This window comes from Homo sapiens, chromosome 1 (genome assembly GCF_000001405.40).
Source record: "Homo sapiens chromosome 1, GRCh38.p14 Primary Assembly".
Classification (NCBI taxonomy): domain Eukaryota; kingdom Metazoa; phylum Chordata; class Mammalia; order Primates; family Hominidae; genus Homo; species Homo sapiens.
Genome location: NC_000001.11, coordinates 222,821,794 through 222,836,042, shown reverse-complemented (window position 1 = coordinate 222,836,042; position 14,249 = coordinate 222,821,794). Strand labels below are relative to the sequence as shown.

Sequence of the window (14,249 nt, the reverse complement as noted above, 5' to 3'; positions counted from 1 at the left end):
AAGCTCTATTTGCTACTACTATCTTAAATACAAAATAGAGATCTAGGAAGTCTGCTGAATTAAGCTCAATTTTTTTTTTTTTTTTTTGAGACAAGAGTCTCACTCTGTCTGCCAGGCTGGAGTGCAGTGACACGATCTCGGCTCACTGCTACCTCCTCCGCCTTCTGGGCTCAAGCAATTCTCTTGCCTCAGCCTCCCAAGTAGCTGGGATTACAGGCGTGTGCCACCACACCTGGCTAATTTTTGTATTTTTAGTAGAGACAGAGTTTCACCATGTTGGCCAGGCTGGTCTTGAACTCCTGATACTAGGTAATCCACCTGCCTCGGCCTCCCAAAGTGCTGGGATTACAGGCGTGAGCCACCGCATCCAGCCACTCAATTTTTAAATAGATGTTAAGGTTGCCTAAAAGTAGTATAAAAATTTGCCATAGCACACAATTTCTTTCCAGCTTATCTCTTTCCTACTCCAGTAACAAGCTCCCCACTGGGATGATTCCAAATGCACCTGGTATTTTGCATTTAAACAAAATACATTTAAAATCATTTGGGAAAAATTTTTAAATATTTGCAAGGAAACAAATTATTTACATTGTTCATGTCATATAGCATAGTAGTGCTCACTGAGATTGGGAAATCAACTGTATTACCAAAGATGTTTTTAAAAAAGAAAAAAACTCCAATACGGAGTGAATATGATATAATAGGGATGTTCTATAGTCTGAATGAATCAAATTTAGTGTAAGAGAACCATTAATTATCTGTCAAGTATACAAATAAAATCCAAGTAAAATTAAAGAGTAAATGACTCTTTCAAAATTTGAAATTACCTTTTAAATGAAGCTGCTTCTGACAGCTTGGTATATGCCTTTTGAGTTACTAAATACAATTCAACAGAAATAAGATGGTGTCTGCTCTCTCAGAAATCTATGAAAGGAAAACATAATATATATTTAGTCTAAAAACAAACGCTGAAACCCACAAGACCAACAACATTTGGAATGTTCATACTATATCAATAGTACTTACTGTCAAATGATATACAAATAATTATACATTAAGCCTACATCAAAAAATAATAATACCCACCATTAACTGAATGCCTGCTGTATACTTAATACTGCACTAGGTACTTCACATGCGTTATTTTGCATCCTAACAACAACTCTGCAAGGTAAGTATTATTCTACTTTAAGCATGGGAAAAAAACAGAGTCAAGTAAGTTGGGTAACTTGCCCAATATCACACAGCTCATGTGTAACAGAGCCTGGATGAGTCAAATAATTCACTCTCAGGAAAACTAATTTGAAGGGTATATTTAACCTACTAAAAAGAATTATAGGGATACTATCTGAAAAAATAATCTTATCTATCATCTATCACCACAGGAATGCTGATTTACATACATAAAAATATAAACAAGGTACCATTTTTTAAAGCAGTCTGAATTTTCATGTATAAGCTTAGTGTGCCCTACCTGTCTGTGACAGAATGTCTTAATAGTAAGACCTCGTGTACGCCTTTATGGTCTAGATCATCTTTCCCTGGACCCAACCCAAACTCCTATTCTGGCTTCTCCATTCCACTGCTATTCCTAAATTCCTGCCTGTCTAAGTTCTACTGAAACATTTTTCTTTTCAGGTTCCCATCTATTATCTTGTTTCTCTTTATTTGTGGCAGAAATAGAACTAAAAGAGAATCCCACTGTAACCACCCACCCTCTTTACTTTTAAGGACCAGCCCACAAAGAGTTAGCTTATCTATCCAACTACAGGACAGGATGCTATGCTCTGTTTATATCTTTTTTTTTTCTTTTGAAGACGAAGAAAGAATCATCAAACTTCTAAGGAAAGGGGGTAAGCAGAAGAAAAATGTTTTAAAGTTTTGAAACTTAGAAATAAATAAACACCATTCTATAAGATGCTGCAGATACAGTGGTACAAAATAGACAAAGTCTGTACTCTCAGAGCTTACAACTTAAAAATCTGTGCCTTACTGTTGTAGTTGCTCCAAATGATACTTAAGACACACTATGTGCCTCCAAAGACTCACCATGTACCAAGGACACTGGACATTTAAATAGCTCTTTAGAATTTTATAAAATGCTTTCTTGGCATCTCATTTAAGCCTTATTGCAACAACCTCACAACAACCTACAACAGTAATGACTATTCCCTCTTTACTAATAAGAAAACAGATTAAGAAAACCTACATTTTGTGACACAAATAATAAGAGAAACAGCCAAGGTTCAAGCCTAGGTCTTCTAGCTCCAAATCTACTATACTAAAAGTCTCTGCATAAAAATCAATCTGGCTTCTGTCAAGTTAATTAGAGCTCAGTGCATAACATCTGAAATGAACACCTCATAACTCATACATCATACCACAGTTTTAGACAGTCATGGCAAAGCAATGGTCATAGGAGGAAAGCAATTAAAGGGATGTAAAATCTAAAGAACAAGGCACAGCACCAAGCCTTTCCTACGCCCTTCTCCTCAGGCCAAACCCCATTTCCTATATTCTCCACTGCAAGTCTTGCCACACAGTTTGAATATATAACTAAACTATTCAACAGTATCAGAGATCAAAGGTTAGTTTATAGTAATAAATATGTAGGGTACTAGAGGGCGGTTGTGGGGCATACAAATATTAAATACCACTAAATACCATTGATCAGAACCCACAGAAATGTCCTTGAACAAAAAGTAGGGTGTACGGAAGAACCTACTTAATAATACCCACACTTTTGCTACACTAATATGAACTCCTGTGAGGTTATATTTGTGACTTATCTCAACTCTTATCACTTTGTTAAAAGTCTATTCTCAAAGACAATCAGATATCTATCCCAATCTGTCTAAAACAGAGTGTGGAAGCTATAATTCTGCCTACTCAGTATGCGTTTCTAACCTTTTCTGATTTAAACATCAGCAGCAATAACAAATAAACATCTACCTTGTGTTCGCAGAAGTCAAACACAGAACCCCCATTGCCTCAATTCCCTCCTCCAGCTGAAGAGATGGGTACAAGATTATTTGGGTTGTGATTTATTTAAGGTGTGTTTGGGTTTTAATTTTCAACTTATTTAAATTTAAATTTAACATGTGTAATCTAATTTAACTTACATTTATTTTCATTTTTTATTTCTTTGAGATGGAGTTTCACTCTGTCACAAAAGCTGGAGTGCAGTGGCGTGACCTCGGCTCACTGCAACTTCCACCTCCCGGGTTCAAGTGAGTCTCATGTCTCAGCCTCCCAAGTAGCTGGGACTACAGGCATGAGCCACCACGCCTGGCTGATTTTTTGTATTTTTAGTAGAGACAGGGCTTCGCCATGTTGGCCAGGCTGGTCTTGAACTCCTGACCTCAGGTGATCCGCCCACCTTGGCCTCCCAAAGTGCTAGGATTATAGGTGTGAGCCACCATGCCGGGCCTTCATTTTAATTTTAAATTTGACTTAAAATTAAATTCAACAATATCCAAAAGAAGTCAAATTAGCTAAAGTAATCCTGCATTTTAAAAGGTCTCAACTAAAAAACTTCTACGTGAAATACTAAAATTTTTGATATTCATGATAAAATAGTTCTCTCTTAGGACCAGTAACCAAAAATGAAAGTTCTTATAAAAATTTCTTAGACCTTAACATTAGAAATTTTTATAAAAATCAATGACTTGATGATTTAACAAATTTATCATCACAGACAGACTTAGACCTATCTGAAAGGGTTAAGAAACTTACAAAAGGTCATTAAGCCAACAAGTAGTAAATCAGGACTTAAACTTGGAAGTTTAGTTGTCCCAGGGCTGGAGTGCAGTGGTGCAATCTCGGCTCACTGCAACCTCCGCCTCCCATATTCAAGTGATTCTCCTGCCTCAGCCTCCCAAGTAGCTGGGATTACAGGCGCCCACCACATTTTTTTTGAATTTTTAGTAGAGACGGGGTTTCATCATGTTGGCCAGGCTGGTTTTTAACTCCTGACCTCAAGTAATCCACTCACCTCGACCTCCCAAAGTGCTAGGATTACAGGCATGACCCACCGTGCCCAGCTGCTATGTAATTCTTACCCACTCTACTTTTCTGCTTAATTGGTACCTGGCACACAACTGATACTCAATTGTTTACCAAATGAATAGATGACCAATCACCTCACTGTTTCACAAACTTCAGAGTTTTCTCAAGATGGTACTCAAGGTCCTATATGTCCTAGCCCCAATCTTATCTTTTCCTACTCTCTAAAATGTATCCCATATATTATAACCAAACTGGTCCCTCAAACACATGCTGCAACTTCCCATCCTGTCTCAGGCTTCCTCTACTGGGTACTTTGTCCCCCACACCTCTATGCCTCTACAAATCCTATCTTCAAGTTCCAGTCCCAAGTCATTATGTATAAAGTTTTCTCTAATCTCTTTGTCTTGTGATAATGTCTCTCATGTGAACTACTATTGGGTTACAAAAGTACTTGCAGTTTTTGTCATTAAAAGTAATGACAAAAAACTAGTATACAGCTTATTAAATTCAGCAGTTCTAAGCTGTAGGGTCTTTATGGACAATTCCTTATTCTATAAGAAATAAGAACTTACAGCTATTTATAAATCTACCTAGCATCAAACATAGTTCCTTATACATCATGGGCATTTATTATATATTTAATTTACTGAATTTAAGATACACTTATTATTCAAAAATAAACCTACTACCTCTGAAATAATCTCCCCATTTTTTACATATCGTTTAATTTATGATTCCACATGTGTATTTGTGCATACATATGTCAAACTATGCAATACTTAAAATGGGGTAGTAACTTAACAGATAATGGTGCTGAAATTCTCAACGTTGACAGAACCCAGTTTTTAAAAGAACCATTAAAGAAGTATTTCACATTTGCACAAAGGTCAGCATGTTAATGGTTCTGTACAATTAATCCATATACATATCCTACAGAAGAAAGAAGGAACCCAGGAACAATTTTAATAGTAAACATATATTTAAAACATTACAGGCATTCAAATCCAAAAGATCCATCAGTCACATGTGCCACCATAACAATTTAGGCAGGTTCTTCACAAATTTAGATACCATTCTTTAAGGATTAGGCTCCTTTCCCATTATCCCTAAAACAAAAAAGACCAGATCTAAATAAAATGCAGCAGTCACAATCTCACAGACACTTGAGTCACTGTCATCTCTGAAAGACGGCCACCAAATACCATACACAAAAATTGATTTTATAAAATAAATGAATGGCCTATCAGCCTCGCTAAAAGCTAACTGCTAATGGCAGAGACTGTGTTGGGAAGACCAACCAAAAAGTACCACAGAAATCTCTGCATTGAAACTTGTTTTAAAGAGGGTGGAAGGAGCCAGGCACAGTGGCTCACGCCTGTAATCCCAGCACTTTGGGAGACCGAGGCAGGTGGATCACTTGAAGTCAGGAGTTCGAGACCAGCCTGACCAACATAACTAAACCTTGTCTCTACTAAAAATACAAAAAAGTAGCCGGGCATGGTGACACGCGCCTATAGTCCCAGCTAATCAGGAGGCTGAGGAAGGAGAATCGCTTGAACCTGGGAGGTGGAGATTGCAGGGAGCCGAGATCGGGCCACGGCACTCCAGCCTGGGTGACAGGGCGAGACGCTGTCTCAAAAAAAAAAGGAAGGTGGAAGGAAGGACGGAAGGAAGAAAGAAGTCAGGAAAGAAAGATGAAATAAAAAGAAGGAAAGGAAGGGAGAAAAGTTCCAAAACCCATACACAAATTGCATAATCTTCTTTTCATTGAAATGACCCCCCCAAAAAAATAAAATCTACTTTCAAAGAGTCCTTTGAAAGAACTGCTTGATTTCATGGTCAAGTTATGTGGTTTGTAAAACTTGAAGATATTCAAGTCAGTGATAAACACCAAATCACATGACCCACTTAAGGAACAGGCAGGGAAAAAATCATCTGGAGTTTGTACTGGCTGTGCAAATGAATGTACTTAGTCATTACTGAACATCACAACTTACAAAGCAAGCAATTGTTTCCTTTCAAATCCTCATCTTTTCTATCAGTGCTAACAAAATTATTGCCAAAAACACTAAATCAATACCATCTGCTAAAAAAAACCCACAAAACATTAACCTTAACCCATTAAAAAATGTGGGTTAAGCATCTTTTCAATTAAAATATTATTTTTAACAGTGTTTTATCAGGTAAGCAAAGCAAAACACAACACATGTATCCTATGCAGGTAATCATATAAGAATATATGAAAAAATATAGAATATAGAAAATACTGCTCTAAAGTTATTTTCTATTTCTTGGCTGGGCACAGTAGCTAATGCCTGTAATCCTAGCACTTTGGAAGGCTGAGGTGGGTGGCTCACCTGAGGTCAGGAGTTCAAGACCAGGCTGGCCAACATGGTGAGACCCCCATCTCTACTAAAAATACAAAAAATTAGCCAGGCATGGTGGTGCACGCCTGTAATCCCAGCTACTCAAGAGGCAGAAGAATCGCTAGAACCTGGGAAGGCAGAGGTTGCAGTGAGCCGAGATCGTGCCACTGCACTCCAGCCTGGGCAACAGAGTAGGACTCTATCTCATGAAAAAAAAAAAAACATTCAAAGAGAACTGATGAAGTAAAGTTACCATCTCTTTGAAAACTGATACGTTTTAAGAAGTTAAGTCCTAAGAACAAATTTTGTAAAATTCCAATACAAAGATGTTTTGGCATTTTCATGGTAATTTCAGCCTTAATTTTATAAATTTTCTTAGAGCATCTGCTACCTAAACTTTACAACATGGCATCCCATGCACAGAGCAAGTAATCCTTGGTTCTTGTTTATCTTAGAAAAAGGTGCAAGGGAAAACAATACTTAATGTCCTATTAAAAGATCTTTCTCAGATTTTTTTCTTCCTCTAGAGGGCAGTTAATATAAACCTTCAGTAAGGGGAGTTTTCAAAAGTGCTTTTTGGAAGTCCTCTGTTGCTTCTTCATCAAACAAATAGTTTATTTCTTATGACTCTAAATGAAAGAGTTTCATCAGTTTCTAGGAACTTATTTTAAAATAAATTTAAAAACATCCTCTACCCATCCCCCAGCCCACATGTTCAATACAAAATACTCCCATGAAGCACAATGACAATGTGGACTTTTATTTCTGGCAATGCAGCCCCATGGCTGGAGATCACCAAAAATTGTTGTATTTAAGTACTTAAAATTTTTTTTTAATGTATAGAAGAGCCAACAATAAAGTAAGAGAAATGCTCCAAGGGCAGAAATAATTTTTTAAAAAGTACAAGTCTAGAGAGGTGAGTTAGTGCTAAAGCGAATGTGCCCCTGGGGAATCTACATATTCCTGGTGGAATGAACCTGATGGGGAGGGGAGCTATAGAAAATAGGGTAATAGGCAGCAAAACTTGAGGGCCTGTACGAAATGGAGAGCCTGAGCAAAGACCATCTCACATAAAGCTCCTGAGGGAGTAAATTAAAAAACATTTCAGCTTACAATCGATACACATGAAGGAATGGTCAAGGGAAAAAAGGTTAAATGCATATGGGTAAATATAAACACTGTTATTTCTGGGGCTGAAAGATCAAGTCCCAAAACTATAATGTCTGATAAAAATAGTTCTTATCAGAAGGAGGTTCAGGAGAAGGATAAAGATTGCATTTACATTTATTTAGACTTTGTTAAGTATGCATATTAACATTTCTACGGTAACCATAGAGAAAAAAAGAAATAGAACAGAAAACTTCCAACACAGTTCAAAGGGGGGAAAATGGAATAAAAAACAAACAAACAAAAGATAAGTAGAAAGCATATGATATGGCAGAAAGAATTTAGGTCTTGGAGTCAGATATTCTGGGCATAAATCACAATTCTGCATATATTTCTTCTAACCACAGACAAGTCACCTGCTTTTAAAATTTCAGTTTCCTCATCTTTAAAAGAGGAATAATAATACAAACTTTTTAGCCTAGTATTTGAGTTAACATGCAAGTACACTATACCTAGTACAGTCTTCAAACAAAGATGCACAGACACCTTTTCCCGTCCTCTTCATTTCATGACACTGAAGTATGCTCAACCAGTGAGGAGGTCATTCTTTTAGGCTGCTGGATCAGACTATTTTCAGCTTGAGTATCACAACTATTACATAGAATTTTTCCTTGACTTTCTGTGTATTCCTTCCTTATTCAGGATTAAAAAGCTTCTAAATCAAATTATATGTAGTATCTCAAGTTTATTTTCCCTAAACTTTGCTTAAATATGTTTAGATTTTCACAAGATTAAGTTAAATCTAATGCAAATGCCCCTTCCACAGCAAAATGCCACGATTAACAATGCATATAAAATAAAACCCAGTTGTTGCTTTTTAGATAGCTAACTACCCCTGACCTCAGTTCTAGAAATAAAAAATGATTATTAATTATATAAATTTAAAGATGTATAACTTACCTGTTAATTAAAATTTGTCAAAGAATGAGCATGTAATACCAAAATTTGATAAAATAACATCTTGTTGCATGAAGATTATTTCGTGAGTTTAGAAATTGTACTCCCAAAATTAAAGTGTTCAGTAAAAGCTTAGTAAGTCAAGTATTCCCAGTAACAGTGTTATAAAAGTTGACTCTAAGAACAAAAAAAGTGAAAAATTTAATTCAATAACCCACATATGGATGATCCATGCCCCTACCCCTTTTTATAATTCTCCAAGGCCAATTTTAAATTCTGAGTGGAATTTTTCTCTTCAACACAGGATGTTTCCAGAATTCCACCATCTGTACATTTACAGAATAAAAATTATGTATCTAAGACAAACTTCAAATGGCAAATCTGTTCCTCAAATTATAATATAATCCAAAAGAAGTACTGTACATGCTTTAACTGTTTGTCTCTACCGGTACAGAAGACTAACTTTACAGCATATATGCCAAGAACTCATCAAGGTGACATAATCCTTTTACCTGAAATAAAAATGCTAAAGGCAGAAAACGTCTTGTGAGAAACCAACTGACAACCACTAAAACTAAAGATGAAAGTTTTATTAGAATAGAAATGGAAAACCTTGCAATATATACACATACTCTAATAGAAAATAACATGGGGGAATGTTATATGTAGAAATCTTAAATAGGGGCTGTATTATTTATGAAACAGGAGGCATCAGCTTTATAGTAAAGGAGTTAAGAGCTAAAACTCTGAAGTCAGATTGTCCAAATTCAACGGTTAAAGAAATTACATTTTAGTTAGTAGCTCCCTGATAGGAGTGGATAATTTTAATATCCATCACACAGCATTCAGCAGATATATAATAATGTAAAGACCAATACCAAACAACCACAAATCATTAAAAAATTCTTAAAGTGTAGGCCAGGTCTGGTGGCTCATGTCTATAAATACCAGGACTTTGGGAGGCTGAGGCAGGAGGCTCGTTTGACCCAGGAGTTTGAGACCAGCCTGGGCAACATAGTAGAACCCCATCTCTGTAAGAAGTTAAAAAACAAAAAAATTAGCTGAGCATGGTGGCACACACCTGTAGTCCCAGCTACTCAGGAGGCTGAGGCAAGAGGATCACTCGAGCCCAGGAGGTTGAAGCTGCAGTGAGCTGTAATCATGCCACTGCACTCCAGCCCAGGTGACAGAGTGAGACCCTGTCTCAAAAAAAAAAAAAAAAAAAAAGTATTAAAGTGTAAAGGAGACTACAAATCTGCAATTGAGCCCAGAGCTCTAATTACTAATAATCAGGTTACAGTCTTAAAGGACTAATGGAATATTTCTACACTACACTGCTGCTGAAGTCATCTGGAGGAGCAACCATGAGGAATAATCAACTACAGTAAGAAGAAAAACCCAGGCTGGGCATGGTGGCTCAAGCCTGTAATCCCAACACTTTGGGAGGCCAAGACGGGAGGACAGCTTGAGCTCAGGAGTTCAAGACCAACATAGGCAATGAAACGAGACCTCTGTCTCTACAAAACAATTTTTAAATTAGCCATGCATGGTGGTACACACCTACAGTCCCAGAAACTTGGAAGGGTAAGGCAGGAGGATTGCCTCAGCCCAGGAAGTCAAGGCTGTAGTGGGCTATGATCTCACCACTGCACTCCAGTCTGGGTGACAGAGCAAGACCCAGCCTCAAAAACAAACAAACAATTTGGTAAGCACAGCAATTCAATCTGCCCCACACATAGTTTAACTGCTGAGGGGGTGAGGAGGCTGGGTTAACAATGTATTAGAGATACAGGCTATTCAGCTGGGCACAGTGGTGGCTCATGCCTATAATCCCAGCACTTTGGGAGGCCGAGGCCGCCGGATTGCTTGAGGCCAGGAGTTCGAGACCAGCCTGGCCAACATGGTGAAACCCCGTCTCTACCAAATATACAAAAAAATTAGCCAGGTGTGGTGGTGGGCGCCTGCAATCCCAGCTACTCAGGAGGCTGAGGCACGAGAATCACTTGAACCCAGGAGGCAGAGGTTGCAGTGAGCCAAGATCGTGCCACTGCACTCTAGCCTGGGTGACAGAGTGAGACTCCATCTCAAAAAAAAAAAAAAAAAAAGAGAAACAGGTTATTCCAAATGGCTTAGTTCTCTCAGGTTCCAGTGAGTTAAAAAAGGATCTACTGCATAAAATTATTAAAGTTCAGTTTGCATTTGACTTTCTTTTCTAAAATTTATTGACAGATAAAAATTGTATATATTTATGGTATACAACATGTTTTCATATACATATATATTATGAAATGGCTAAATCAATATATTTGACCTTGACAGCCTATGAAAATCTAGGCAGTTTCTGGGAAAGTAACACACATGTCTAAAACCTACAGTTGGGAATGAAAAAGAAAGACTCTCAAGAATGCTTGAATTCTTATACCACCCCCACCATCCCCCACCACTGCCCCCCCACATTCCCCATCCCTGGGGAGAGACTATTTGAGACCGAACTGTTAACTGGCAGCAACCACCCTCAGCATCACCTGAACAGGCTTCTAGGGCAACAATCTAATAACTACTCATTTGGTGGCCACTAATTTACTCTTCATTTCAAAACAGCCTTTTTATCTAGGTTTAAAAAGAATGAAACTGTCTAAAAAATTTTTTTTGCAGTAGCGGCAGATGGAAACGCATTCATCATTACCCTCCATTATCCTTTTCAGCTGGCAATAACTTGTGGTTGTAAAGCAAAGAAAAAAGAGTTTGGGTGATTTTAATCAAAGCTTGGATTCTAGCCCTGCCCTGCAGCATGCTGTAATATGAGAAAGGTTCCAGCCTCACATTCCAACAGAAATGAATTTTTATGTGAATAGCCCCCCACCATTAACTGCCACCTCTCCTTTCGTTATTCTTTTGAATTGATGCAGCAAATATTTTTAAAGTATCTGCTACTTTCAACTATGCTAGATGCTACATTAATTATGGTACCATCCTGGAAAAAAAAAAAGAATTACATTTAACAAATACTTAAAGTGGAACAAATGGAAAATAAAACACTTTTAGGAGTATGAAGATATACAAAAAAATGTAGAATCAACATGCTGCTAACTCTCTCTAAAAAGTACTTCAAGTATCAGCACCAAATCATTTAAGGTGCTTTTGAAATGTAGAAGAAAACAGTGTATAAGCAAAAGCAGAAGGGCTTTAAAATAAGCTCCACCATTTACAGGTAGCACAAGCTTAGACAAATTAATCTCTCCAAAAGTGAAATATAAACATCTACCTTATATAAGGGTTGTTGTAAGAAATGAATAATATATTAAATGCTCACTGCAGTGTCTGGCATATATGATCAATAAATAGAGGCCAGTATCATTAGAGGCATTTTCAACAAGTAGGACACATTTACTGGTAACTTTTCCTCTTTGGTGGAAAAAAATTTATCATGTTAATAAAACTTATTACTGTTCTGAAAAACAAGGTAAAATAAGTTTCACAAATTAATATGTAACTTAATATATAAATTAGAAGTATTTATCTTATAACAAGTTGGGAGATGGGAAACTGCAACTAAGGCATATAATATGTCATCAGAGTATTTAAATAAACAAACAAAAAAATGTAATGAGATTACTGAGGACCTGGAGGGAGAAAAAACGTATGAGAAGTAGCTATACCTATTTGTCAAGTTGAAAAAGGTCCTGTCTCCTCCCATTATTCTTCCTCCTCTTCTCAACTCCTATAGGGAAGAAATATGTTCTCAGATACTAGGAGTCCGAAAAAAAAAAAAAAAAGGAAAGAAAGAAATCTGAAGCAACAACGTAAACAAGGAAGCAATCTACATATATTAAAACACTTTGCTAATTCTTTGGGTGAACAGGACTTTTTAGTTTTACAAGCTTCACTTCAAAACACATATACTTTTTTGCTTTTTACTTATTTATTTTTATTTATTTGCATAAATTTAAGGGGTCCAAGTGCAGTTTTGTTACATGGATATATTGTGTAATGGTGAAATCTGGCCTCTTGTGTAACCATCACCCAAAGAATGTATGTTGTACCCATTTACAATTTCTCATCCCTCACCCTCTCCCACCCTTTCCAGTCTTTAATGACTATTACTCTACATTCTGCTTCCATGTGTACATGTTATTTAGCACTTATAAGTGAGAACATGTAGTATTTGACTTTCTAAGTTATTTCTCTTAAGATAATGCCCTCCAGTTCCATCTATGTTGCTGCAAAAGACATGACTGCATTCTTTTTTAAGCTGCACAGTATTCGTGTGTGTGTGTTGTGTGTACACCACATTTTCTTTATCTAGTCATCCATGATGGATGCTTAGGTTGATTCCGTATCTTTGCTGTTGTCAACAGTGCTGCAATAAACATATTGAGTTCAGGTATCTTTCTGATATAATGATTAATTTTCCTTTGCGTACATACTCAGTAGTGGGATTGCTGAATCAAATGGTAGTTCTACTGTTTGTTCTCTGAGAAATCTCCATATTGTCTTCCAAATAATTTGTACTAATTTATATTCCCACCAACAGTGTACAAGTGTTCCCTTTTCTCTGCATCCTGATGTAATTTGGAATTAGGTCTATCAGTCATTCCACAATTTATTCTGAATTAACTCAGACAATTCAGACTAGCTAACAGTTACGAGAGAAGCAGATTTCCTTTGGGAGAGAGGTTAAGGGACAAAAGAAAGAGAAATTGATGATTTTAATGCATGGACACTTAGGAGATGAGAAAGCATCATTATCCAAGGAGAAAGTAACAGAGCAGGGAAAAGGAGGAGATTTTAAGAAGGTGTGCAGCAAAGGCTATGGAACAAATATAATGATCACACCACTCACTCTGATATTTTAGAGGCAATAATTTGCCAGCATGTCTCACTGAAAATCAAATGCTGCTGTAGATTACCAAAACTTATCAACTGTAGAATTGTAAAACAGAAAACCTTATAATTTGAAACACTGAGGCCTGGATATATGAAGCTGTTCTAGCTCATGATCAAATTGTATTAAATCATTTATGAAAATCATTATCATTGAAAATTCAATGTTTATATAATTACATCTTTAAAAAACAGTTGGAATTACAGGAAAAGCATTCAAACTTACTTCTTCCCTCAAAAGCCTCTGTCAAGCTTTGCTAAACTCTTTCTGCTTATAAATGTAGAAATACATAAATTTCTCAACTTAATTTTAAAACCTAGCATACAAAATGATATAAAGAGGTTCTTGTCAAGCTTAAAGGGTTCCAGAAAGAACCCTTCCTAATAAATCTTCAAGCACTGCAAAGGCTCCTGAGAATGATAGCTAAACACACCATGTCACTCTGAGTCAAATGCAAATTCTACCAACCTTCTGAACACAAGTGAAATGGTTTCCAGGTCTGGTTCAGAAAGAATTACACTACAAAGTTAAGGCAGATACTCTATGCCTACTACCTAGTAATCTCACTACTGGATCTTGAGCACAAATATGTCATTCAATCCTGTATATTCCGTTTTCACACTACTATAAAGATACTACCTGAGACTGGGTAATTTACAAACAAGAGTAAACAAGAGGTTTAATTGACTCACAGTTCTGCATGGCAGGGGAGACCCCAGGAAACTTACAATCATGGTGGAAGGTGAAGGGGAACCAAGGCATGTTTTACATGGTGACATGGTGGCAGAAAAGAGAGAGAGCTCAGGGAAAACTGCCACTTTTTTTTTTTTTTTTTTTTTTTGAGATGGAGTCTCACTCTGTCATCCAGGCTGGAGTGCAGTGGCACGAGCCTGGCTCACTGCAGGCTCCGCCTCCCAAGTTCAAGC

The 14,249-nt window shown here is 37.0% G+C and overlaps 1 protein-coding gene across 59 annotated transcripts in view; it reads right to left on the bottom strand.

Moving 5' to 3' along the window:
• DISP1 (dispatched RND transporter family member 1) overlaps positions 1-14,249 on the bottom strand; it is a 190,957-nt gene that overhangs the window by 169,953 nt on the left and 6,755 nt on the right. For 8 of the 59 annotated variants that reach the window (NR_165109.1, NR_165134.1, NR_165122.1 and 5 more), the window contains exons 2-3: positions 12,098-12,159; positions 828-924 (exon numbers count right to left, since the gene is read on the bottom strand). The exons of 5 other annotated variants lie outside the window; for them this stretch is intronic. The gene's annotated coding sequence lies outside the window, so the exon portion shown is untranslated. Of the gene's footprint in view, positions 1-827; positions 925-4,810; positions 4,939-5,000; positions 5,115-8,441; positions 8,616-9,519; positions 9,638-11,703; positions 11,842-12,097; positions 12,188-14,249 lie in introns of all 59 variants that reach the window. 46 more of the 59 variants (NR_165129.1, NR_165132.1, NR_165110.1 and 43 more) reach the window with 17 other exon arrangements.